The sequence below is a fragment of the Homo sapiens genome, chromosome 5, assembly GCF_000001405.40.
Source record: "Homo sapiens chromosome 5, GRCh38.p14 Primary Assembly".
Classification (NCBI taxonomy): Eukaryota; Metazoa; Chordata; class Mammalia; order Primates; family Hominidae; genus Homo; species Homo sapiens.
The window spans coordinates 128,176,411-128,202,530 of NC_000005.10; the positions used below are offsets into that span (position 1 = coordinate 128,176,411).

Sequence of the window (26,120 nt, forward strand, 5' to 3'; positions counted from 1 at the left end):
AACAAATATTTTAATACAAGCTTGTATTAAGGGAACAAAATGAGATTAGGAAAATTGTTAATGCCAGATATATTTGTAGATATTTTTAAATATAAATGGATAAATATTAATGCACACGTATATACATACATATATAAATTTATATATGTGAGAAAAATCACTCCTGTATAACCTGGCATTTTATATAAAGCAAAATACTTATGTCTCTGATCAAATTTCTTAATATTTCAAGTGTGATTAATTTTTTACAAACAACAAATATCCATTAAATGTTTCTAAAATTGCTGTTCAGTTATTTGCACAGTGATGGCATGTTTAAAATTTATGTATTATCTGCAATATCAATGTTTAATGTCATATTTATACCTATAAGCCACAGTTCAACATCTTCTCAACTTATTTCAAGTATGAAAGTGTAAACATTTTAAAAATATGCTGAAATTTAAAAAGTAATTTTACAGAAATTAAATTTAGGGGTGTTAGTCATCCTGTAGGGGAGGGGTCTCAAATATGTTTGCTTTTTAAAAGCTTCAACACTCAGTGCAGAAAATATTAATCTTCAGTCTTGATTATTTTTCAGTGGACTGCTGCTTCATATTATATTTTGTTTATAAATGTGCTCTGATTACATTTTTATTATTTTATTAATATAAAGGCAATTAACATATTTTTGTGTTTTTTAAACATAATCTAGTTGAGGAAGAGGATGGCAAGACTGCAACTCAACCACTGTTGAAAAAAGGCAGGCATTTTTCATCATTTTATTTTAAACCCTTTTTCATACTGTAAACTCTTTAACTCCAACCTTATTCCCTTTTTTTTAACCTTGGTTTTTATTTCCATGGTGAGGTAATGTTACAGTTCTATAAATGCAGATTAGAAAAATTATTATTAGTCTAACTAAAAAGTTAAATATTCTCAGGAAATGGAGTTATATCACAAATTCTTTTCTATTATCACAGCATTTCTGAAATATTAGACCCAGACAGCCGGTATTAATTTTTTTTAATTTAAACTGCATGGTTTAGATGATAAGTAGGGACACTGAAATAGGTTTTATTTGCAGTGTCACTTGCATTCTTTACCATCAGTTGTACCCAGCCAAGTCCTCAATTTTGATACTAATGTATTTTTCATTTCAAAAATTACAATATTTCTCACAGTCGTGCTGCGTTTGGGAGATACACAGTCATGTCAACATACATGAATTTTATGAGAAGGAGATAGAGGTGAGAGTTATGGAGCAGTGTGGTTTGGTAGCCATATTATTTCATCGTGCAAAATCATTTGTCATGTTTGCATATATCACAGCAGCATGAAAAGTGACATTCTACAGAAGTGATCAGATGTCCTCGTATGGATTTCTGCTTTTAAAATTTTGGTGTAGGAGTTTCATGATAGTCATTTGCTTGCTCACAGAATCAATGCTGTTTTTTGTTTTGTTTTAACTCCTGGGAATATAAATGGGAACTCCTTGGTGTATTGTTCTCAGACCTGCAGCAGATGGGTGCCCTTTGAAGGAGCTCCCACCATCTTTCTGTGGTTCAGAGAAAGATGTGGTTATATGGCTTTAGAATTGGGTGCCACATATTGGGGACAAAACATAGGTAAAAATGAGAAGTCTTTCCTTAGACTAAGGTTTCACTGTGATAATTGTAAGAATGTGTTAGTATGTCTTCAACTCCCATCTTTCATTTATATTGCAGATAACAACTTTGTCTTTTAAAAAGTTTTGAGCTTTAAATTATTGAGATACCAGATTACCAAAGAAATAGTTTCACAGAACAGGTATAAACTTGATTTGTCCAGTTTGACTAAAACAGCTTTTCAAAACAAAATCTAGCAGCTCACTGTAATTTTTTTTATTGTTATTTATGATTCTCTTACATTCATTCAGAATGCTTGAAAATATTAGTAAGTAGGCAGATAATTTGGATTGGTTTAGCTATTGTAAAGAGTTATTTCTCTCTAGCCATTTATAAAGTATACTTTTATTATAAACAACTGAAAGTTTATGGTAGATGCCGTATACAATTGTCTGAATTATCTGTAGTATAAACATCTGAATATACAAACATTAGGAAATGATAGGAATTCAGCAAAAGGGACTTTAATATTTACTTTGCTTACATTTTATATTTTGCTTAATCCTTTAGAATCCAAAGGCCCTATTGTGCCTTTAAATGTAGCTGACCAAAAGCTTCTTGAAGCTAGTACACAGTTTCAGAAAAAACAAGGAAAGAATACTATTGATGTCTGGTGGCTTTTTGATGATGGAGGTAAGGTTGTTAATTTTTTTAAAATGATTTTAAATTTACTGACATTGTGAGAATAGTAAGAAATGACATGCACTCTTTACCTGTGGACCCCATTCAAATTTTGCCAGCATTCCCAAAAGCAAAAGGATTAATTTCAGAATCAGGCACAGCCTTTAGTTGTCTGGTCTCTTCAGTATCCCTAATGCGGAGGTTGTTCAGTAGTATTTCCTTGAGCTTCATGACCTTAACTTTTTTTTAATATGAACCATTTTGTTGACTGTAACCCAATTTGAAGTGCTAGTTAATGTTTTATTATAATTAGTTTTAGGTTATCTACCTTTGGCAGAAATATCACAGAAGTGATGCTGTGCTCTTCTGTCTACATCTCATCAGGTGGCACAGGATGTTGATTTGTACCTTCACTGGTGAAATTAACCATTGAGTAATATATGATTTTCACCACATGTATTCACTGAAAAGTTACCCCACCCCCTTTTATAATTACAGGTATTGGGGATGGCACAGAGGGATTACTCTGAGACTATGTAAATACACTATTCTTGCAGCCTTCACCACTATCTTTAGGATCCATTGATGTTTCTGCCTGAATGTATTGTTATTGTTGTGGTTGCCAAATGATGATTCTCCTATTCCATCATTTCTTCCTCATTTATTAGTTGGCATTTTATTGTAAGGAAGAGCTCTTTATTTCTGTCAGTGTGGACTCATTGATTCCTATTTTATTGATATTCAGTGGGATATGTATTAGACTGTTCTTGTGTTGCTTTGAAGGAATACCTGAGACTGGGTAGTTTCTAAAGAAAAGAGGTTTAATCTGCTGATGATTCTGCAGACCACACAAGCATGGTCCTGACATCACTCAGCTTCTAGAGAAGCCTCAGGGAGCTTTTACTTATGGCAGAAGGCAAAGCAGGAACAGGCACATCACATGATGAAAGCAAGAGTGAGAGAGTCATAGAGAGGAGACAGAGATGCCACACACTTTTAAATCACCCGGTCTCATGAGAACTATCACAAAGACAAGCACCAAACCTTGAGGGACTGACCCCCATGATCCAAACACCTCCCACTAAGCTCCACCTCCAGCACTGGGGATTAATTACAGTTCACCGTGAGATTTGGGTAGGGGCTGATATCCGAACTATTCCAGGATATAATTTGTTACTTTCATTTGTTTTGATGTTCCAATTGTCCTATATTTCGCCAGCAGAATCCTCCTTAGGCTCATTTGTTTCCATTTATCATGTCCCAATCGTTCCTTTTTTTTTTTTTTTTTTTTTTTTTTTTTTTTTTTTTTTGCGACTGAGTCTTTTTCTGCCACCCAGGCTGGAGTACAGTGGCGCAATCTCGGCCCACTGAAAGCTCCGCCTCCCGGGTTCACACCATTCTCCTGCCTCAGCCTCCCGAGTAGCTGGGACTACAGGCACCTGCCACCATGCCCAGCTAATTTTTTAGTATTTTTAGTAGAGATGGGGTTTCATCGTGTTAGCCAGGATGGTCTCGATCTCCTGACCTCGTGATCCACCCACCTCGGCCTCCCAAAGTGCTGGGATTACAGGTGTGAGCCACCACGCCCAGCCCATTCTTTTGGGTTATTTTCTAATACAAGAAGATGTTCCAGGCTCAGTTTTATTGTTTTGCACTTTCCCTTCACAGCCACGAAAGTAACCCTTTCCAAGGAATGCTGGTTCCTTTTACTGAATCATAGTGTTTAGAAACAAAGATCAGGGCATTGGATATGCTTGTGTCTACTGGAGTGTCACTGCTCCCAGGCCTTCTCCATGGACAGAGCCAGGAACTCCTTGTGTGTGTGTCTGTGGAGATATAAATGGAGATCAAAAAGCAATTTCAGTCCAGCTTCTCCCTTTTCATATTTCTAATTTCAGTGTTAAACATGGCTCCTGCTAAGGTCAATAATTATACTTATTTTCTCAATCCTGTTGTATGTGACTGATCTCGACCTTACCAGGCCACTATCCCATTTGGCTACCTTCCTTGAATGGGATCAGACTCCGTTAGGAGTCCCTTGTTTCTCAGGTCTGCTAATGGCTTTTTGACTGAATTATCAAGGAAGGACAGAAAGATTTTTGTTTCATATGGAGTTGTAGTAAACATGTTTTTCGAGACTAAATTGATGTTCCTGATTAAGAAATTTGCATTTAGTAAATGATTTATTACATTTTTATAATTCAGGTTTGACCTTATTGATACCTTACCTTCTGACGACCAAGAAAAAATGGAAAGACTGTAAGATCAGAGTATTCATTGGTGGAAAGATAAACAGAATAGACCATGACCGGAGAGCGTAAGTTTATTTCACATTGAAGGGCATGAATCTATTAGCACTTCATTGCTACAGTATAAATTTGATAGGATAAAAATTAGACAATCCAGAAAATGTCTATTATCTTGCTTTGTTCTTTACTGAAGTTAAAAATTTTAAATATAACCTTGTTCTCTTTAGTCTTCATGTTTAACTAGTAAATACTTAATTTTACTTAGATATAATTTTTTTTAACATACTAGCATTTTAGAAGGTCCTTCTTAAATACTTGTAACATTAAAGTGTTAAGCAACTTCTTTCTTTTAATCAGGGAGAAAATGCACAAACGTTACATATTTATATATGAGATAAATTTTGTTGTAGACTTCTAGACAACAAAATGCAGGATGCCATTGTCATCCATCCAATTCTTTCCATCTATACTGTCACGATTCTAGTTCTTGTTTCAGTATTTCTCTCCTGCTCTCTAAGTACTCTTGTTTTGTCTTTGACCTGTAACATGTATATTGTACAGAGTACATAATATGCATAATCTTCAACCTAATTAATATGTATATTGTACACATTATGGGTCAAAGGTAAGACATGGGTACTCAGAAGCATTGAAACCCAGTTTTATTTTTCAGAAAGCAGAGTTTTGACCATATGATTCCTCTACCCAAAATAGTTAAACGACTTCTCTGCTACCTGCCATAGAAAATCTAATTGTTATAATGTAGCAGTCAAGGCCCTTGACAGTCTGTCCTCTCATTCCCTTTCTATTCTTCTGTTTCCCCCAGTGTTTCAGTACACTTTTCCCTATGCTCTAAACATGCATGTGACTTCAGGCTTTTACTCCTTTGCCTCCTCTCATCTCTCTCCTGTAAATAGCTCTTCACTTGCCTCTCCTTTTATCTCTTTAAATACTGCATTCTTTAAAACCCAGCTCAGTTCTTCATAGTGCCTTTCCTATTTTCCCCCCACTTACCCCCCCATCTAGTTGTTATGTTTCCTTCTGGAATCACAATATACTTTTATACCTACCACTCATCACATTATGGCTGGTATTATATTTATTGTCTTATTTAAGTTTTGTGGGCCCTGTTTAGCATGTTTTATAGTAGCCACTTAATTGATAGATCCTGGAATTCAACTGTTTATTCATTTCAAATAGTGAATTATGCAAGAAATACTAATAATAAATTTAATAGTCAAACCTATAGCAGATCTGTTTTCTCATATCTCAATTTAAAAACATTTTTATTACAAATAAAATTGCATTTTGTTAATTGCTTTTTGTATATATGTGCACTTCACCTGTTCTGTTGTTGCCACCAATGTTTCATTGCCAGCTAAGCCTTCAGAAAGGTATTTACTGGAAAATCAGGCTTGTTGATGATCCTTTTCTACATCCTGTCCCAGTTCCTTCTTTCCCCAAAATGCTATGAACTTAATCTGCCATCAACTATATCTTCAGTATGGCCCACAGGTCATATTTGGGCCCTGAGATAAGTGTTCTTGGATGGAAGAATAATCCAAAAATAATTAAATATTTGTCTACTAGTTTTTACTGAAATTTATGTACTTATCAATATAGTTTGACTAAAATTAACTTAAGAAACATTAGCTTCCATTTAAATTTTATTATTAATGTCTTTGTCCATTACTCAGTGCTAAGGAGAGATTCAGAGAAAGTAAAATACTCAGTGATTACTCAGAAAGTAAAGTACTCAGTGAATTTAAGTCTACTTTGTGAATGAATGGTGTGAATTAATTCAAATGGATATTGTTTAGCATATGATAGACTGACTTTTTCTATAAATCATGCTTTTTAGATATATGGATTCAGCCCAATATAGAATGAAAATACTTGTATCTTAATTCTATTTATTTTTGTTGTAGGATGGCTACTTTGCTTAGCAAGTTCCGGATAGACTTTTCTGATATCATGGTTCTAGGAGATATCAATACCAAACCAAAGAAAGAAAAGTAAGTTACTCTACAAATTTCTGATCCCTTTATAGATGGCCTACTCAGACACAGATTCAACTTAATTAAAACCCAGAGATTTTTTTCCTGTTGTTAGTTACATGTGAAGTCAATATTTTAAAAAATCTAGCATTGATAGTTGGCATGCATATATCAGATATTAAAGAAAGTCTAAAGAGTTTTCAATATTCAGAGAGGATTTAAATTACAGCTTTACATGTGATTTCTGAAAGGTGGTTCATTTCCATTGCCCCTGCCTACAGTCGTTATAACCACTCAGTCCCTGCTCTACATACCTATTACTTTCCACTGTTTTGTTTTATTGCTAAAATAGGAAAATCTAAACATTTGCCTGCAATAGTTGCATTCAGAATTCTTCTAGCAAAGACTTTGGAATATTCCACCTGAAAATGGTATATACAGGTTGTTATAATGATATTTGTATTTATTTTACCTGATATAATTTTAATTCTTAGATTAATGTTGAATCAATATGAAGCTGATATAAAGAATTCCTTTTAGATAGAAAATAGTAAGGTACAATTTGTAAGGTTGTAATCAGGGTGAGATTGCTTTTATTGTAACACAGTGTATACTGGGTGTTTCATACTAGATTTGATACTGAAAAATATTTTTCATGTTCATAGAGGATTAGAATGCCATTCATGTTATTTTACTGTTAAATATCTTTGGATGTAGAAATTAATTTTGCATTTCCTTAAATTTTTAGTGTCTGCCCTTTTCCCCTTCAAAATGTTCTAGTACATTTTTTTACATCACTTTTATTCATTGATAACTGGGAAAGCCTTTGGGTGTTTTGAGCAGAGTAGTAACACAATTTGACTTATTGCTCAAAGGGATCATGTTAGCTACTATGGTAAAATTTATTTAGGCTGAGAGAAAATGGCCATAAGGGGAGGCGGGGTAGATAACAGTGAGATCAGCTTTAGCAGTTAAAAATGCAATTTATTACAGGTTGGAGATTCCTTATCCCAAATGCTTGGGATCAACCAAAAGTGTTTCAGATTTCAGATTTTTTTTTAAATTTTGGAATATTTTCATTATACCTGCTGGTTTAGCATTCCTAATCCAAAAATCAGAAATTTAAAATGTTCCACTGAGCATTTCCATTAGACATCGTATTGGTGCTTAGAAAGTTTTAGATTTTGAAGCATTTTGGATTTCAGATTAGGGATGCACAATCTGTATTGTCTATATGGGTTCTAATTTTCTCATCAGTTTGAGAGACTAGAAATTGCTGTTTTTGAAATAAATTGCCAAACTGATTATTATGGTTGGGGTATGGAGAGGAGCGTAATAAATGAGAGGCACTAACTTTGCAAGTTACAATTTAATATTTAAGATCTTCCTGTTATGTAACTTAAAATAAGATTAGTTGTCAGTATTCTTTCTGTTTTTTAAAGTATTATAGCTTTTGAGGAAATCATTGAGCCATACAGACTTCATGAAGATGATAAAGAGCAAGATATTGCAGATAAAATGAAAGAAGATGAACCATGGCGAATAACAGATAATGAGCTTGAACTTTATAAGACCAAGGTATTCTCTTCTGCTTCCTTTTCATTAATCTTTTATATAATAAAAGACATGAAAACCAAGAACTTTAATTTGATATAGGAGGGTCAGTTGTATAAATGAACTCTACTTTAAAATAGATTTATTTGAGGTTAGTGGAAAGCATTTTTAAAAAAAATAAAAATAGAGAACAGATATTTTTATTACACGAAAATTCATTTCAGTTTCTTTTTGTCTCCTTATAGTTTTATGAACCATGCTAAATTCTTATTTCCACATGGTCTAGGAATGACTGTCCTGTTTCATTTCAGACATACCGGCAGATCAGGTTAAATGAGTTATTAAAGGAACATTCAAGCACAGCTAATATTATTGTCATGTAAGTAATATCTTTATAAAGATTTTCTTGCTAATTTATGATAATATGCTTTGAATTAATTTCTATTCCAAGTACATATCTATATAACACCCATATTGACTTAGTGGTTATAAGGAGGAAAAAACAAACTTGTAAAAATATACTATGCTTTAAGCATATGGAGAAAGACAAAAACTTTAACCTTATGCTTATATGAATCCCAAGTAATCTTTTTATCATAGTAGGTTATATTGGAACCTTTTGTTTACCCTTCTTCTCACCTTTTTAAAATTCCTTATCTTTGTAAACACTACAGCATAGCCGTTAAGCACGTGTGGATAGGAGGGTCCTACGTTAAAATTTGGGCCCCGGACAGCTTCCTCTTGAAAATAATTCAAAAAATGTTATTTGGCAGATTAAACTTGAATAGTGATTCCTATCTGGATCCCCATTCTTATGTTTCCAACACGCAAATTTTACATACAGACACATTGTCCTTGAGTTAAATATGATACTAAATGCCTACTTTGGCTCTTCCTCTACTGAACTAGGTTAGCTATTCTTTGAACCCACATTTTCTGAGTTCTGGAACATGTGTCCTTAGATAGGAAAGCTCAGGCCTCTCCCCCACAAAAAAAGCCAAGTAATGAAAAAAACTACCAAAAGATTGTTAGTTTAACAACATTCAATAAATCAAAAAGTTTCAAGTTTTGCTGATGATAATCAAATACCTGTAAATGGAAAAGACACCAAAACATAGAAATTTAGAGAAAAACTATACAGCAATTGGTCACTGCTGCCACCATCCATAAATAGAAATTAAAACTAAGAGAAGATAAAAATTGCATTTATCCATATATAGCTTCTGTTTTCTAAATTTTGATAGTAAACATACCTTTCACCTAAAAGAATTCTATTCTTATTAAAGAAGGGGAAACCTAGGATTTAGTGTTAGATATCAGAGGTACTGTGGTTTATAGAAATACTTACTGTTCTTATGAACAAATTTTGAAAAATCTTTTGTTGAAAGATTATAGTCTTTTATATATGCATATATGATGGTGGTACCATAAGATTATAATACCATATGTTAAGCTGGGCATGGTGGTGTGCACCTGTAGTCTCAGCTACTTGGGAGACTGAGGTGGGAGGATTGCTTGAGATCTGGAGTTTTGGAGTTTTGAGTCCAGCCTGGGCAATGTATTAAGACCCCATCTCTCTTAAAAAAATATATATATATTTTTACTGTATCTTTTCTGTATTTAGATATGCAAATGCTTACCATCGTGTTACAGTTGCCTATAGTATTCACTACAGTAACGTACTATACAGGTTTGTAGCTTAGGAGCAACAGGCTGTGTCATATAGCCTAGATGTGTAGTAGGCTATACCATCTAGGTTTGTGTAAGTACTCCTGTGATGTTTTCACGAGGGCAAAATTGCCTGACAGTAAGTTCTGAGAAATGCGTCTCCATCGCTAAGCAACACAACTGTGGTTGTTATTCTATTTGCAGAATTCTCCTGCACTCAGAAATATTCTGTAATTATAGTAATTTACAGTAACTGTTATTGTAATCTACTTTATAATTTTTGCTACATTTTATTCTGTAAATGCATTGCTCAGGGTTTTTTTTTTTTCTTTTTCTCTTTTTGATACCAGGAGTCTCCCAGTTGCACGAAAAGGTGCTGTGTCTAGTGCTCTCTACATGGCATGGTTAGAAGCTCTATCTAAGGACCTACCACCAATCCTCCTAGTTCGTGGGAATCATCAGAGTGTCCTTACCTTCTATTCATAAATGTTCTATACAGTGGACAGCCCTCCAGAATGGTACTTCAGTGCCTAGTGTAGTAACTGAAATCTTCAATGACACATTAACATCACAATGGCGAATGGTGACTTTTCTTTCACGATTTCATTAATTTGAAAGCACACAGGAAAGTTGCTCCATTGATAACGTGTATGGAGACTTCGGTTTTAGTCAATTCCATATCTCAATCTTAATGGTGATTCTTCTCTGTTGAACTGAAGTTTGTGAGAGTAGTTTTCCTTTGCTACTTGAATAGCAATAAAAGCGTGTTAACTTTTTGATTGATGAAAGAAGTACAAAAAGCCTTTAGCCTTGAGGTGCCTTCTGAAATTAACCAAATTTCATCCATATATCCTCTTTTATAAACTTATAGAATGTCAAACTTTGCCTTCAACTGTTTTTATTTCTAGTCTCTTCCACTTTAAAACAAAATGAACACTGCTTGTCTTCTTCCATTGACCATTTAGTGTTGAGTACTGTATGTGTTTTGTTAATTCTATAAAGGTATCTGTTAGATATTAAAGGTGAGAATTAGGGCAGGTTAATCAAAAATGGGGAAGGGGAAATGGTAACCAAAAAGTAACCCCATGGTAAGGTTTATATGAGTATATGTGAATATAGAGCTAGGAAAAAAAGCCCCCCCAAATACCTTTTTAACCCCTCTGATTGGCTATTATTACTATATTTATTATTATTTATTGAAACCTTAGGGAAGATTGAAGATTCATCCCATACTTCTATATACCATGCTTAAAAATCACGTCATTCTTTAAACAAAAATACTCAAGATCATTTATATTTATTTGGAGAGAAAACTGTCCTAATTTAGAATTTCCCTCAAATCTGAGGGACTTTTAAGAAATGCTAACAGATTTTTCTGGAGGAAATTTAGACAAAACAATGTCATTTAGTAGAATATTTCAGTATTTAAGTGGAATTTCAGTATACTGTACTATCCTTTATAAGTCATTAAAATAATGTTTCATCAAATGGTTAAATGGACCACTGGTTTCTTAGAGAAATGTTTTTAGGCTTAATTCATTCAATTGTCAAGTACACTTAGTCTTAATACACTCAGGTTTGAACAGATTATTCTGAATATTAAAATTTAATCCATTCTTAATATTTTAAAACTTTTGTTAAGAAAAACTGCCAGTTTGTGCTTTTGAAATGTCTGTTTTGACATCATAGTCTAGTAAAATTTTGACAGTGCATATGTACTGTTACTAAAAGCTTTATATGAAATTATTAATGTGAAGTTTTTCATTTATAATTCAAGGAAGGATTTCCTGAAAACATTTCAAGGGATTTATGTCTACATATTTGTGTGTGTGTGTGTATATATATGTAATATGCATACACAGATGCATATGTGTATATATAATGAAATTTATGTTGCTGGTATTTTGCATTTTAAAGTGATCAAGATTCATTAGGCAAACTTTGGTTTAAGTAAACATATGTTCAAAATCAGATTAACAGATACAGGTTTCATAGAGAACAAAGGTGATCATTTGAAGGGCATGCTGTAATTTCACACAATTTTCCAGTTCAAAAATGGAGAATACTTCGCCTAAAATACTGTTAAGTGGGTTAATTGATACAAGTTTCTGTGGTGGAAAATTTATGCAGGTTTTCACGAATCCTTTTTTTTTTTTTTTTTTTTTTTTGAGACGGAGTCTTGCTCTGTTGCCACGCTGGAATGCAGTAACGTGATCTTGGCTCACTGCGACCTCCACCTCCCCAGTTCAAGCGATTCTCCTGCCTCAGCCTCCCTAGTAGCTGGGACTACGGGTGCACGCCACCATGCCCAGCTAATTTTTGTATTTTGAGTAGAGACAGGGTTTCACCGTGTTGGCTAGGATGGTGTCTATCTCTTGACCTTGTGATCCACCCGCCTCAGCCTCCCAGAGTGCTGGGATTACAGGTGCGAGCCACTGCGCCTGGCTGGTTTTCATGAATCTTGATAGACATCTATAACGTTATTATTTTCAGTGGTGTGCAGCATTTTTGCTTCATGAGTATGACCTAGGTATAGAGATCTGATAACTTGAATTCAGAATATTAAGAAAATGAAGTAACTGATTTTCTAAAAAAAAAAAAAAAAAAAATTTCTACATTATAACTCACAGCATTGTTCCATTGCAGGTTTTGCAATGTTTGGGGGTAAAGACAGTAGAAATATTATTCAGTAAACAATAATGTGTGAACTTTTAAGATGGATAATAGGGCATGGACTGAGTGCTGCTATCTTGAAATGTGCACAGGTACACTTACCTTTTTTTTTTTTTTTTTTAAGTTTTTCCCATTCAGGAAAACAACATTGTGATCTGTACTACAGGAACCAAATGTCATGCGTCATACATGTGGGTATAAAGTACATAAAATATATCTAACTATTCATAATGTGGGGTGGGTAATACTGTCTGTGAAATAATGTAAGAAGCTTTTCACTTAAAAAAAATGCATTACTTTCACTTAACACTAGACACCAGGTCGAAAATTTTCAAGGTTATAGTACTTATTTCAACAATTCTTAGAGATGCTAGCTAGTGTTGAAGCTAAAAATAGCTTTATTTATGCTGAATTGTGATTTTTTTATGCCAAATTTTTTTTAGTTCTAATCATTGATGATAGCTTGGAAATAAATAATTATGCCATGGCATTTGACAGTTCATTATTCCTATAAGAATTAAATTGAGTTTAGAGAGAATGGTGGTGTTGAGCTGATTATTAACAGTTACTGAAATCAAATATTTATTTGTTACATTATTCCATTTGTATTTTAGGTTTCCTTTTACATTCTTTTTATATGCATTCTGACATTACATATTTTTTAAGACTATGGAAATAATTTAAAGATTTAAGCTCTGGTGGATGATTATCTGCTAAGTAAGTCTGAAAATGTAATATTTTGATAATACTGTAATATACCTGTCACACAAATGCTTTTCTAATGTTTTAACCTTGAGTATTGCAGTTGCTGCTTTGTACAGAGGTTACTGCAATAAAGGAAGTGGATTCATTAAACCTATTTAATGTCCATTCTTATATCTGTTTAATAAGTCTTTGCCAGCTTTGTGGTTTTATCTCATTTCGATAACTATTGCTTCATTCATTTCTGAATTTTTAAAATAGCTTTTACCTTAATATTCACGCCCTGGAAAAGTCGTTCACTATTCTTAAACCTTTGCAATAATCACTGTTGATGCTCACAGTATGACTGAACCATCTGAGATGCAGCTCATTATGGTATTTTTTTAAGTGACCTAGCTTTTCTAATTCTGCTTTATCTTTGGGCCAGATCTCTCATTTGTGAATGAGGAAACTGGAAGATTAAAAGCGATTCATAGTCCCTGAATATAATCTGATTCTTTCCTTCCAAAGATTTTTGTCTAAGCTCATTTAGAGTTTTAGAAAGCATTTTCATTTTCTCATTTGAATATGACTGTAGGTGTGTATATATGCAGGACAGCTATTTCTTTTACTCTTGAGAAAGCAGCTTGGAGCAGTTTAGGGAGTTTTCCAAGGTCATGGGGTAAATCAAGGAAGGATATTGGTCTAGAGCCCAGGTCTTTTATCCCCAGGAATTTCTTTATTATGCATTCACTGCTGGCTGATCCATAAGATAGATGGCTGGGATAGATTGGTCATTTCCAGATTGGTCATTTCCAAATTACTTACACCTGTCCGCCCAGTAAATGTGTGTTCAGGTAAGGCAAATTATAGTTAGAAATATAGGTTGGCTACAGGCTGCCTTTAATAGGTTTGAAACAAAATGTAAATATCCATTTTTTGATTTGTCATCTTCCTTATTCTCAAGCCACTATTCAGGCCAGTTTACTCACTTATTTGGAAAGCTAAAAGAGAATTTGAAGGCAACTATGTATGTGACATTTTCTAATATCAGACCATCCAACAGTTTTTAAAACAGGAACATCATTCACCTTTGAGCCAGCAGGCTTTTGTTGTTCACTCACCAGGAAGAAAAGATAAATCCATTTGATATGCTTCCCTCTTTATGTTTATGTACCTATAGGAAGTTTGTAGGTCCAGAGGAAATAGATGGTAGTTTAATGTTTAACTTTTGGGGAAAAGATGGTACAAGTTCTAGGATATGCTCAATAGAAAGTACTATTTAGTTTCTCTAGTTCAGATAATAAATACAACATGTTGGTGGGTTAACCAACTTGACATATTTTTTTTGGTAGTAGTCGAATACCTAAGGATCTAAGTCTCATTGTCCTGTATGGAATCTGGTGGCAATGGTGATGGACCTGTTTTACCTATATGATGGGCATTTAACATGGTCTGTTAAATGATAGCATTAAGAACCTCAGCCCATTTTTTTCCCTCCTTAAATCTACCTTTTAATTTTTTCTTAGACAAGGTAAAAGTTTGAAACTATTAGGGAAAATGTGAATGCCTCTGCATTTGTCCCCTCCTGCTGTGCAGCCTTCCTTGTGGCTGCTGTCCTCACAGATCAGGAACTCATTCCCCAAAATGATAGTGTATTGGTAACACATATCCTTTGTTCCACGATTCTAGGATATGAATACAAACTACCAGTGTATTCTACCCAAAGCTACAAATGAAAATAAGCTTACTTTTTTGATCCACAAAACAGGATCAGGATCCATTGGTATTGAATGCCAAAATCTGACTCAATACTTGTCAGAATTTTGTTAGAATACTACCGAAGCTTTTGAGGTAGAGAATTGTGGAGGTTTCATCCTGGAAGAGTTAACTTCGTCTTAAGAAAGCAAGCAATTTATAGGGTGACTTTATATCCAGCTATTATATCTCTAAGATATACTAAAAAAGACAGTTTTAAAATTAAGTAGGCACTGTTCATATTTATTTATATAAGGTACATATAAAGGTGTATAACTACTAAAAGATACTACATTTGCTCTTTTACATTCTAAATTAAGCTTCAGTTGAGCCATTTTTTCAAGGAAGTCACAATTTGAAAAGGAGCAATCTATAGGCATGCATTTGGATAACCAGAAAGTCACAGATTATTTTTAAGTTTACAACATTTTTGCTTAAGCCATGAAAACTATCCTCTGAGTTCCTAAGAAATGTTACTATTTAAGAAATTTAGAAGATGACAAGGACAGTTTGGGAAGGAGGTGGCTGGTGACAGTGAGATGAAAAATTATGCTCCAAGAAAAGGTTTATGAATTGCAAAATATGTGCCTTTAAGTCTTAGTGTCATATTTCCTTTTGGGAAATAGTGAACTGTGAAGAAGTTAGTTTTTTTCTGAATTTTTAAATCTGTTGACACAACCAGCACCTTCTGTTAGCTACACGGTGCCAGTCTCAGAGCTATAATAATCTACATCTTTCAGGTAGTCTGTTTTCTCTGTGGTCTTTCCATCAGTAAAGACTATCCATTGCTTACTGTCCATGCCCTTGTGAGTTTAGTAGTATTAACATAAATTTCGCACTTGGGTTTTTTCAGAAAATTGGTAAGGAAGCACAGGTATATTTTGTATTGAAACATTGATTAGAACAGTGGTTCCCAAACTTTAGTGTGCCTCAGAATCAATGGCAGGGCTTGTTAACACATACTTTAGTCCTGCCACATAATCTCTAAGTGAAATTCTTCACGTAGGCTACTTCTCAATATAACCTCCCTTCTTTACACTTCCTTTTGTCCTTTCTTTCATGGTATACATGTAACTTCCATCTCCCCTTAACACCAGCTGTGAATTCAAATGATTATCTCCTTTCCAAATTGCTCAGTGTTTCCCTTTTATATTAGGTCTTTGTCAGTGGCAAGAACAGAACCCAAAGGTGGGTAACAGAAAAAGGAAGCCATAGAAGGCAGCTGAGCTTAGGGACTTCAGTGAGTGTAAGCAGGGACTTGGAACGGGGTCCTTAGGGCTCATCTTTCCTTCTCTGGTTTGCCTTTCTAAGCGTGACAGTTCTTCACATAGACTGTCATCATGTAGTGTGCTCTGTGGCTTCTGAGAAAACCATACTCAGTCCTGGTGGCTTAACAACAGCTGCAGTAAAAAGGTGGTGTCTCCTCATAAGCTTTGGCAGAAAAGACTAGGGAAGGGTCCCAATGGGCTCAGTTTGGGAAATGTGATCCCCCCAATTCAGCCATGCCATTGATTAGACATGAATCTTGTGCCCACTTGACTTGAAGTAGATTCTCCATTTAAAACAGATTTTATTATTGAAAAAAAAGGAGGCCAGGCATGGTGGCTCACGCCTGTAATCTCACTATGTGAGGCTGAGGCGGGAGTATCGGTGGAACCAGGATTTCAATACTGGCCTTGGCAACATAGTGAGATCCTGTATCTACAAAAAAATAATTAACCCGGGCATGGTGGTACATTCCTGTAGACCCAGCCACTCAGGAGGTGGATCACTTGAGCCCAGGAATTCAAGGCTGCAATGAGCTATGATTCTGCCACCACACTCAAGCCTAGGCAACAGTGAGAACACGTCTCTAAAAAAATTAAAGGGAGGTTGGGAAAACCAAACCAATAGATACCACTGGGAGTGACCTAAAGAATAGTGCTGACCCACATTTAACTAAAAATCAGAGAAAATCTAGGTCATCTGCTTCCTTCGGAGTCTCTAGTTATAGGGACATGTCTTAGTCCAGAATATTTATGATGATCAAATCCAGATGTGGCTGCTCATGATCCAGCAACCTATGATTGGCTAAATGATATTTTTACCCCTAATATACCTTACAATGACTGATATTTATTGAAGGCCTCTGTGTACCAGATAAATGAAATGTTTTGCCCTCATTTAATCCTCACAAGTGTGAGGTAGACTCTGTAATCCCCATTTCTCAGATGAGATAACAGGAGTGAATCCAGGTCACATAGTGCAAAGCCTCAGTCCAGATTCAGGGAATATCGCTGATCCCTGTGCTCTTAACCACTCAGCTGGACTGCTTACATATAGTTACGGAGAGAAAATAGGAGAGTCACTGTAAGAACACTCATTTGGAAATGGGGAGAAGAGGAAGCCCTGGCCTTAAAGTGGGTTCCATGGTGAGTCACTGCTTCCCCAGGTTCTCCTCTGTGATCATCAGCTTACCCATTGTCTTCCATGGCTGCATGTAAGGATTCCCATTCTGGGGGCGCACGTTTGCTGTAGGCTGAGGGGTCTGAGGACTACTCTAGAGAAGTCTCAAAAGCTTGTTGCCAGGCTAGAGGTTTCTGTGGCAACACCCTTAACTAGCCAGCTACTTGTTGATCTGACTTTGGGTATTGTAGGACTGGTGAGCAATTCCAGCAACCTTGGAAATCTGATCCTTGATCTGAACTCTGCTCTTTTTTTTTTTCTCTTAGCACCAACACAGCCTATTTTCTAGTTCTCAGTTTACTGGCTGCAATGGTCTGGCAGAGATTCTCTTTCCTGCTCCAATACTTTATGATGGTCATAATGCCTCCTGTGGAATTGCAATTTAGGCAAAGTCACATTCTAAAGTCATCACAGGAAGTCATCATTGCACTTGAAAATCACTTACCACTTCCAAACCACACAGTTCTGTTTCTCAATGAGTCTAGTACAGTTAGGTTTTCCTTCCATTATTTCTTAAGTTGTGTACCAGCTGAAACAGCTGGCTTGCAGTTAGGACAATGTTGTTCAAATATTACATAAATACTAGGATCCCACAGTGAGGGAGCCAACACCAGTGGCAGGAATGACAGGTTCATCTCATACCACTTTTTTCTTCATGACAAACGGAATGATTGGAGTTTTTTGTTTGTTTGTTTGTTTGTTTTTTGAGACAGAATCTTGCTCTGTCGCCCAGGCTGGAGTGCAGTGGCGTGATCTCGGCTCACTGCAAGCTCCACCTCCCAGGTTCACACCACTCTCCTGCCTCAGCCTCCCAAGTAGCTGGGACTACAGGCGCCTGCCACCACGCCCGGCTTTTTTTTTTTTTTTTTTTTTGTAATAACTGGAGTATTTTGTCATTGCCTTCTTAGTTACCACCACCACCACCACTCTCCAACAGAACGTGTATAATTCAGTCCAATACATGCATGTTGCAACTCCACCAGATTGCTTTTGCCCAGAAGGGTATGCATAAGAGGAGGGGCTTAGAAGGGGATGATCAGGGGTCTCCTGGTTCTCAGGCTCCTCCCGATCCCCATCGCGTCCATGGTTTTAGAATCTACCCTTTGCTCCTGTGGATCAAGACTGAGAGTTGGGATTTTTAAATGCTGAGAGGGCTTTGATTGTTTAATCTCATCCAGTCATGTTTGCTAGCTGCGGAAGAGCGAGTTTCTTTTAGCAAAATCACCTGTTGTCTCCTTTCTACTTTCACAAGGGCCAGCCTAGCTAGAAGTTTAACCATTTCTTACAGAAAACTTGGTGAAATCTCCAGAAATAGCCAAGTGCATGTCAAGCTATCATGTTCCAAAAGTTTAAAACATAAGTATACAAATAGAGTAAATAAGTCAAAGATTATGTTCAACTCATTGGTCAGAGAACCAATAGGCAAAAGTGGTTCAAAGGAGAATGAAAGGAATAGGATGTATGTCTTCACCAGGAAAAGCATTTTTAAATGTTTGCTGAATTAGAGACAGATCCTAACCTGTGGAGTTATCTTTTATACTAGACAGACAATATTTACGTATCTAGCAGATGAGGTCTACAGTAAAACATGTAACTTCTTAGAGTCTAAGCCCTTAATAGTAAGTAGTGAAGTCAAAAATGGATACATTTCCCTAGAGCAGTGGTTCCTAAAGTGTGACATGGGAACTTCATGGGGTTCTGCAAAGTCAAAACTACTTTCATTATAATGTTAAGATGTTAGTTGCCTTTTTCACTCATTCTCTGCCAAGCGTACAGTGGTGTCTTCCAGAAGTTAGTTGACATGTGGTAACCTCATTGCTTCAATGGCTAATGGAATCTATGAAGCTATGAGAATCTGGCTGTCTTCTACTAAGCCAAATGTTGAAGAGATTTGAAAACATGCAGAGCAATGCCTATCTTCTTACTAATCATTTTTGGAAAATATAGTTATTTTCTTTTTAAAAAGTTATTTGTATTTACATGCAATGGATTTATTACTATTTGTGATGACTAAACTTTTTAAGAATTTCTATTTTCATATCTAAAAATAGATGGTATATCAGTCCACCCCGGACCAATCACCTAGGTCGGGGATAGGGTACTGTGTCCACCCGAACACACCAAGTGGGGAAAGGACAGTTCCTCAAAGAGTAAAAGGTGCTCTTCTGGCTTCATCTTTTGTTGTAAGAGCTAGGCCATAAAACCACCGTAAGGACTGATGAAGATTGTAGGGGTTAACAATAAGTTTATTCTTGTTAAGTTGCAGAGCTGGGGTGTGGAGGGGTTGAGGGAGAACAGTGGTAGAGGATACTTTGTTTTCTCTCCCTTGCCATGTCACGAAATGACTTAAGAATCTTTTATCAACACTTTGTTAGTAGGAAAGGCAAAAGTCTATCAAGACCAAGATAAACTAGGCTACCCTTGGGGTCAACCAGGCTACCCTTAAAATACATAACTGAGTTTATTCCTAGTAGTATTTAAGATGACAGCCACAGGCTCTGAAGCCAGACTGCCCAAATTCTAATCATCTTCTTGTCATTTGCAAATGAACTTTTCTTGGCCTCAGTGTCCATATCTGTAAAATGGGAATATAGTTTTCTTACTGATCATTATAAGGTTTAAGTAAGACAATTTATTGAAGAGGTTTAGAACTGTGCCTGGTACATAACGTTTATATTGTCCACTATAATGATAATGTTGAAACAAGACTGCTGTATTTATCGTTTAGTTATAAGGTTTACATTTGCTTTTATTGCATGAATTGGGTAGCTTGCTACCTTTTCTTTGACATTCTTCATTGTATATCTAGAAATAAGAGTCATCAGATGAATAATAATACAACCTGTCAAATAGTCATTTCTTGATTGGATTTCTGTTCCCTGGAGGCCACATTCTCTTGGATTTATCACTTCCATTAATTTTCTCAGGTGTCATGGCTGAAGAAACCAAAGCAGAGAAGCAGTGCTCTAACTGTCCCCTTATTAGAAATAATGACCTAAATCACGTGGAATATGTATTTTTCTCATAATCTCAGAAAAGTACTTAGATATGAATCTATGAAGATACTCGTTGGTTTCCAAGAGGTTCCACTGTCTTGCAAATAGCAGTTTGTGGATAAAGGAAAAGTCATGCTCGTATCTCCAAGAGGCTTAACTATTCCAAAACATCAAAGTAACTCTTCTGTTTCTAAAACCATGCCACAAAATTAGCTCATTGGCAGGAAGCTGCATGTGAAGCTCAGATTGCACACAGAGCTGACGTGTTCTGTTAGATGAACTTGTACTGGAGCAGCTGATAAACAAGAAATATCCCTTGAACTTCTAAAAAAGTGATGAGGTAAAAAGTCAGCAGCTTAGTTCAGTGAGTGGAAGATTGTTTTCTGCTTACTACAGGAGACCGTGCTTTTTTCAGAGAAGTTAAGAAGTTGAGCATAAAAATACCAGAAGGCCCAACTGTGAGAGACAAGAGAAGTGTTGATGTAGCTTTCCAGAGAGATTGTGGATTCCTGAAGCTGACTCTGCAGCTCCCTATGAGCACAGACACTTCCCTTGGCCCCCCTGAGCCTTGCTGCTCAACTCTAGGATGAGGATACTACGATCCCCTTCAGAAGTGTTATGAGATTTCAGTAAGTCAAAATATGTAAACTGGCTGGCGTATAGTGTTAATTGCTATGAACTCTTTTCTCCCCCTTTCTCCTGAATTAGAAAACAGCGCTCAACCAATCCAGACACCTTGCAGAACTCCTCCCTTCTGCTCACTGCTCAGGTGCAATTCATCACCCTATCCTATTGACATTTTTCTCAACATCTTTAATCTTCCTACCTTTCACCGGCCCTTTTTCCATGACATCAGTTCAGGGTTCCAACACTGAGACCGACCATGTCAGGCCTGCCCTAAGCCTAATATGATGGAAAGAAACAGAGTCCAGAGTCCAGCCAGGGAAGAGGTGGGCTCTTTTTGCTGATTCAAATAATGCATCTGGGCATTATTCAAAGTCTTCCCTCCACCTCCAGAGAGGGGACCCTCCTCCCCTGAATACGACAGCTGCATCCACAAGAAATTTGGTTACGTCTATCATTTTTACACTGTGCCTCCCTGCTAGTTTCTTTGCTAGCTCTTCAGCAGACCCAAGCAGTGGCCAGTTAAACTGAATCCAAATCATCATTCTGGCCCTCTAACTTAGACTGGGACTTTGTTGATTAGCCAAGATCAGTTGTGTTTTTCTCGCACATTATTGCAAAAGGTTTCTAATCTGTCTTCTTGCCTTCTGTTATACCTGTCTCTATACTAAAGCCAGGGTGAAGTTCAAAAGACAGATTTGATCTTATCGCTTTTCTGCTTAAAACCATTCCTTGGCTGCATTCCAAGTTCTTCAGCAACTTCTGAGCCCTTCACGCCTCTCTCTAGGTTCATTTTCAGCCACCACTTGCCATGCCTGGAGCTCTATACTCCAGTCAGACTAACCATTGGCACAGTGGGCTCTTTTGCTTCCAGGCAGTGGAACATGCCATTCTCTCTGGCTGGCCTTTGACTTTCCTCCTTGTCATGAACTCATAATTTTACATTGCTGCAGCATCTACTTTGACTGAAACTTAAACTCTTTCATACCAGAAGCAGGGCTCAGTCACCCTTGACAGAGTTTCCAGTTCTACACTTCCTCCCAGTTCCTCAACCTGGTCAATCCAGATATCTGCCTGATAATGGTTTGGCTGTGTCCCCACCCAAATCTCATCTTGAATTGTAGCTCCCATAATTTTCATGTGTTGTGGGAGGGACACAGTGGGAGATAATTGAATCATGGGGGCGGTTCCCCCATACTGTTCTCATGGTAGTGAATAAGACTCACGAGATCTGATGATTTTATAAGGGGAAACCCCTTTCACTTGGCTCTCATTCTCTCTTGACTGCCACCATGTAAGACATGTCTTTCACCTTCTACCATGATTGTGAGGCCTCCCCAGCCATGTGGAACTGTGGGTCCATTAAACCTCTTTTTCTTTATAAATTATCCAGTCTCAAGTATGTCTTTATCAGCAGCATGAAAATGGACTTATACATTGCCTTATACAACTGCCTCCTGGTGACCACCTCCCTATGGGACCACCTCCCAATGCAGCCTACTTGAATCACCTTACTGACCCACGTACCTAACATGGACTGTGCAGATATGCCATAGTGACCAGTCCCAGTGTGACTGCATGAGACATGGACCTGCTTGCTCCAAACCCACCAAGTAGAATTACCCACGGGAAACTGGGTAATGCCCTGGTCCCCAGTAAAGGCTTTAGTCCCACAGGTTCTCTCTCTCTTGCTCCCCACTCCTTGGTTGAGTGCATGTGTCCTGGACAGCTCTTCTCATCCCACTGGCCCTGTGAGGCAAGGCGTGCTGCCCTCTTCTCTCTGGGTCTGTAGGTAATGCACTGCTTTTGTTATTTAATGTGTTTGTTGCACTGCCTCCTCTGTGTCTCACCCCACGGACACAGTCGAACCTAACTCTTCTCCCCGTCAGAGCTCTCCTACAGAGTGGCTATCTTGGTAAGAATGCACTGGACACAGGTCAGACAAGAGCCACAAGGGTGTCTGCCAATATAAACAAGTTTCCTGTGAGAGGGACACCTGGTCATGAGTCAGACACTTAGGCATGAGGCCATTGACCAGGGTAAAGTAGTATCCCATGAAAGGCACACTGTAAATACTCATGACCGCCTTTCCTGTAGCCCCATCAGGGCAGGACTAGAATTTATAACCCCTCTCCAGGGAGAGCCCTCCAGACCAGATTAGAGGAAAGTACAGCACTCTTCAAGAAGCAGCTCAGAAAGACCTCCTCCAGGAAGTTTTCTCTGATGCCACAGGTCTGGATTAGGGTCCCTCTCTGCTGTGCCCCTCTGTGCTCACCAGCTTGGCCGTTTCATGTCCTCACTATGCTGGTGTCACCTGGTAACACACTTGAGTTACCTGGTTTTGTTCTGTGGTCTACACCAATCTGGGAGCTCCTTAGGGGTAGTAACCTTAGACAAGGCTTGCAACATAATCAGCAATTAATATTAATGTCTGAGTCAATGAATAAGTGAATGAATGAAGCAAAGAACTGGTTTGGTTTCTCTTATGAACACTATGGGTTGTGTAATAATTTTGTTTCCCACTTATTCATCACTGATGAGGGAAGGACTACCAAGAGATTATGGCAGATATTTAAGGTATTAGGTGAACCCATGGATCCCACTCCTACATGCTGTTGCTTCACTGATAACTGTAGTATAGTATCAGTACATTTGTAGAACTAAAGGGGAGTGCCAAAATATTTTAAAAATAAATGAATTTATCACTGTGAAAAAGCCAAATGAACCTCTGCTATTAATGCCTTATCTTGTCAAGTGTCTAAGGACTGTGTGACTCAAAAACCCATGCTTTTTAAACATTATGAATTGGGAAACTGCAGTTATTACTTGTGACTTTTTCCAACTAGCAAAGTCTTACTGTTTCCTGATGACACAGCTCAAAAGTCACCTTCTCTGTAAAACTCCTGTGACATCCCATCACCACACTCCTCCTGTAGCCCTTCCACCTGATCTGTTGGACGATCCCACTGTCATTTATTTGATTTCCCCATTAGATTGAGTAACTGACAATCACTTTCATACCTCTAGTGGCTTATCTTATTTGTGAGCAGCTTGGAGTTTTCAATACAGGATTTACTTCATGAAGGGATGAATGAAAAGATTAAATCTATAAAGGGGGAAGGCTGCTGGTGACAGGGGAATAGCTCAAAGGGGTTATAGGCATGGAGCATTATTAGGATTGGAGCTTTTTGGAACGTGTGACTTGGTTGAGTGTTCTAGTTGTAACAACTACACACTAATATGATTTGCATGGCATGTTTCATGTATGCTTGAATTCTTGAGACCTAACTTATAATAACCATTATTTCATTATTTCCTTCATGCTAAGGATTAAGGTTAATGATGATTTGAAGAGAGGATCATTTATTAAAGTGCTTATTGATTCAGTGAATACTTACTGATTATCTAGGGCAGGGCAACACCATGTGTAGTGGCCCTGGAGCTCCTGCGGACCCTGGCTCAGGAAGGTGGTGGGGGCTTGGTTTGAAATGCTTAAGTCAAGGAAAAAAAGAGAGGTAGTGTTTAGTTAGGTGTCTAAGTATTTGCTTAAGGAACTGGCCACCTGCTTGTCCAAGTTCAGGCTGTTATCTTAACTGCCCTTTAAATGCTTCTAGGTTGCTTTTATTCTTTGAGGATTAGTGAACAATTCAGTCCCACAGGTGTCTGCTGTTTTGAGAAAATAGTGCCGAAAAGTACACGAATGCGGGCAAATCCTTATTTGTTAAAACCTCCAGTCTTTCAAGAGATCCTTTTCCCAGACACGTGACTGAGGGTTCGCATAATCCCATTTCTGCTTAACCCGAGTCACTCCCAACTTCACACCAACAGAAGGATCCTAGGATAGACCCATTCATCCGTCCATCCTTCCTTCCTGCTTCCTTCCTCCCTCCCTCCTTCCCTCCCCTTCACCCCCCACCACCTGCCTTCGAATTAAACTGTAATCCTGATTTACTTCATTCCTTTCTTGTTTGACATTTCTCAGATTTCACGATAAGAGGGAAGCGAAGAAAAAAGCACGTGACTTGAAAATGTTTTTCTCTTTTTAAAGCCACATCTTTCTGCTTCATTTTGATTTCAGTGTAACTCGCCGAGTGAGGACTCTTGGCCCACGCTGGGAGCCCGCAGCCGGCATCCGCCACCGCCGGGCAGGTGTGCGCTGGGCGGGCGCGCGGACTCGCCTTTGCCCGGCCCGCGGCTCCCCCGTGTGGCCTGAGTAGGTAGTGATGCGAATAACATGCTTTGAGAAGTCAGAAGGCTGGCGTCTCTTCCTCCGGAGCTCACGGAGGAGTCTCTCTGGTTTCCTTTCTCAGAGGCAAAAAATTTCCAGTTGGTCTCAGGCTAACATGGACTCTGGCAGAGGAATTGAATGATGGCCGATTTCAAGAAAGCAAAACAAACTCCTGCCGGGGAGACAGTTTGGGGTCGAATGATTTCATGATGCCCAAGACCACTCCTGCCACACAAGCGAGGGGAAAGAGCGGGGAAGGTTCTAGATGAGCTGGATCCCCGCTAGGTGCCAGGCATCTGACATGCATTATTTAATCTTACTGTACCCCAAGCTAGATAGGAATAGTCACCTCATTTTACAGAAGAGGAATAGTCACCTCATTTTACAGAAGAGGAAACAGATTCTCTGAGGTCCGCAGTCTCAAAATGGTGTAACAAGGGTTCAAACTGTGACCAGGCTGACTCCAAATCCCATACACTTGGCATGACAAGACCTCATACAAGAGAGGCGTCTCGGTCCCTTTGTGTTGCTGTAAACAGAGTACCTGAGTCAGAGTAATTTGTAAAGAACAAAAATGTATTTATCACAGTTCCGGAGACAGGTTCAATGTCTAGGGAGGGCCCCCATCTCTGCTTCCAAGATGGCACCTCGAACCCCATCCTCACATGGAGGAAAGGCAAAAAGGACAAGAAGAGATGAACTTGCCCCCTCTAGCCATTTTATAAGATGCTAATCACCTTCCTATAGGATGCATGTTTAATCCTGTTGCACAGGGGATTCACTTTCAACATGAATTTTGGAAGGGACACAAACATTCTAACCATAGTAAGGTGAGGATCTCCTGCTCAGTTCTCTCCTTCTGTTGGAGATAGACGTCAGGCTCCAGAGAAAGCTGCTTATATCTCAAGTCCAATAACCTCACGTCTGCATGGCCCATCTGAGTTACATGAGTGTGGAGTGTGGCATTCTGATCTCTGCAT

At 37.6% G+C, this 26,120-nt stretch overlaps 1 protein-coding gene across 4 annotated transcripts in view, besides 2 other annotated features; it reads left to right on the top strand.

The window, feature by feature from the left end:
- Positions 1-13,267, top strand: part of SLC12A2 (solute carrier family 12 member 2) — a 105,912-nt gene extending 92,645 nt beyond the window's left edge. Inside the window, exons 21-27 of one of the 4 annotated variants that reach the window (NR_046207.2) lie at positions 695-742; positions 2,157-2,279; positions 4,473-4,584; positions 6,445-6,531; positions 7,956-8,091; positions 8,313-8,446; positions 10,086-13,267. Coding sequence is in view for 3 of the 4 variants with exons in the window: in NM_001046.3 (NP_001037.1) it covers positions 695-742; positions 2,157-2,279; positions 4,473-4,584; positions 6,445-6,531; positions 7,956-8,091; positions 8,379-8,446; positions 10,086-10,221 (710 nt within the window). In the remaining variant the exon portion in view is untranslated. Of the gene's footprint in view, positions 1-694; positions 743-1,163; positions 1,230-2,156; positions 2,280-4,472; positions 4,585-6,444; positions 6,532-7,955; positions 8,092-8,312; positions 8,447-10,085 lie in introns of those variants that run through there. The other 3 variants (NM_001046.3, NM_001256461.2, XM_047417591.1) reach the window with 3 other exon arrangements.
- Positions 21,835-22,214: an enhancer, noted in NCBI's record as "active region_23038". NCBI's record gives its function as "activates an Ori minimal core promoter by ATAC-STARR-seq in GM12878 lymphoblastoid cells {active_cell/tissue: GM12878}" and the evidence as "EXISTENCE:reporter gene assay evidence [ECO:0000049][PMID:35858748]".
- Positions 25,020-25,199: a silencer, noted in NCBI's record as "silent region_16296". NCBI's record gives its function as "represses an Ori minimal core promoter by ATAC-STARR-seq in GM12878 lymphoblastoid cells {active_cell/tissue: GM12878}" and the evidence as "EXISTENCE:reporter gene assay evidence [ECO:0000049][PMID:35858748]".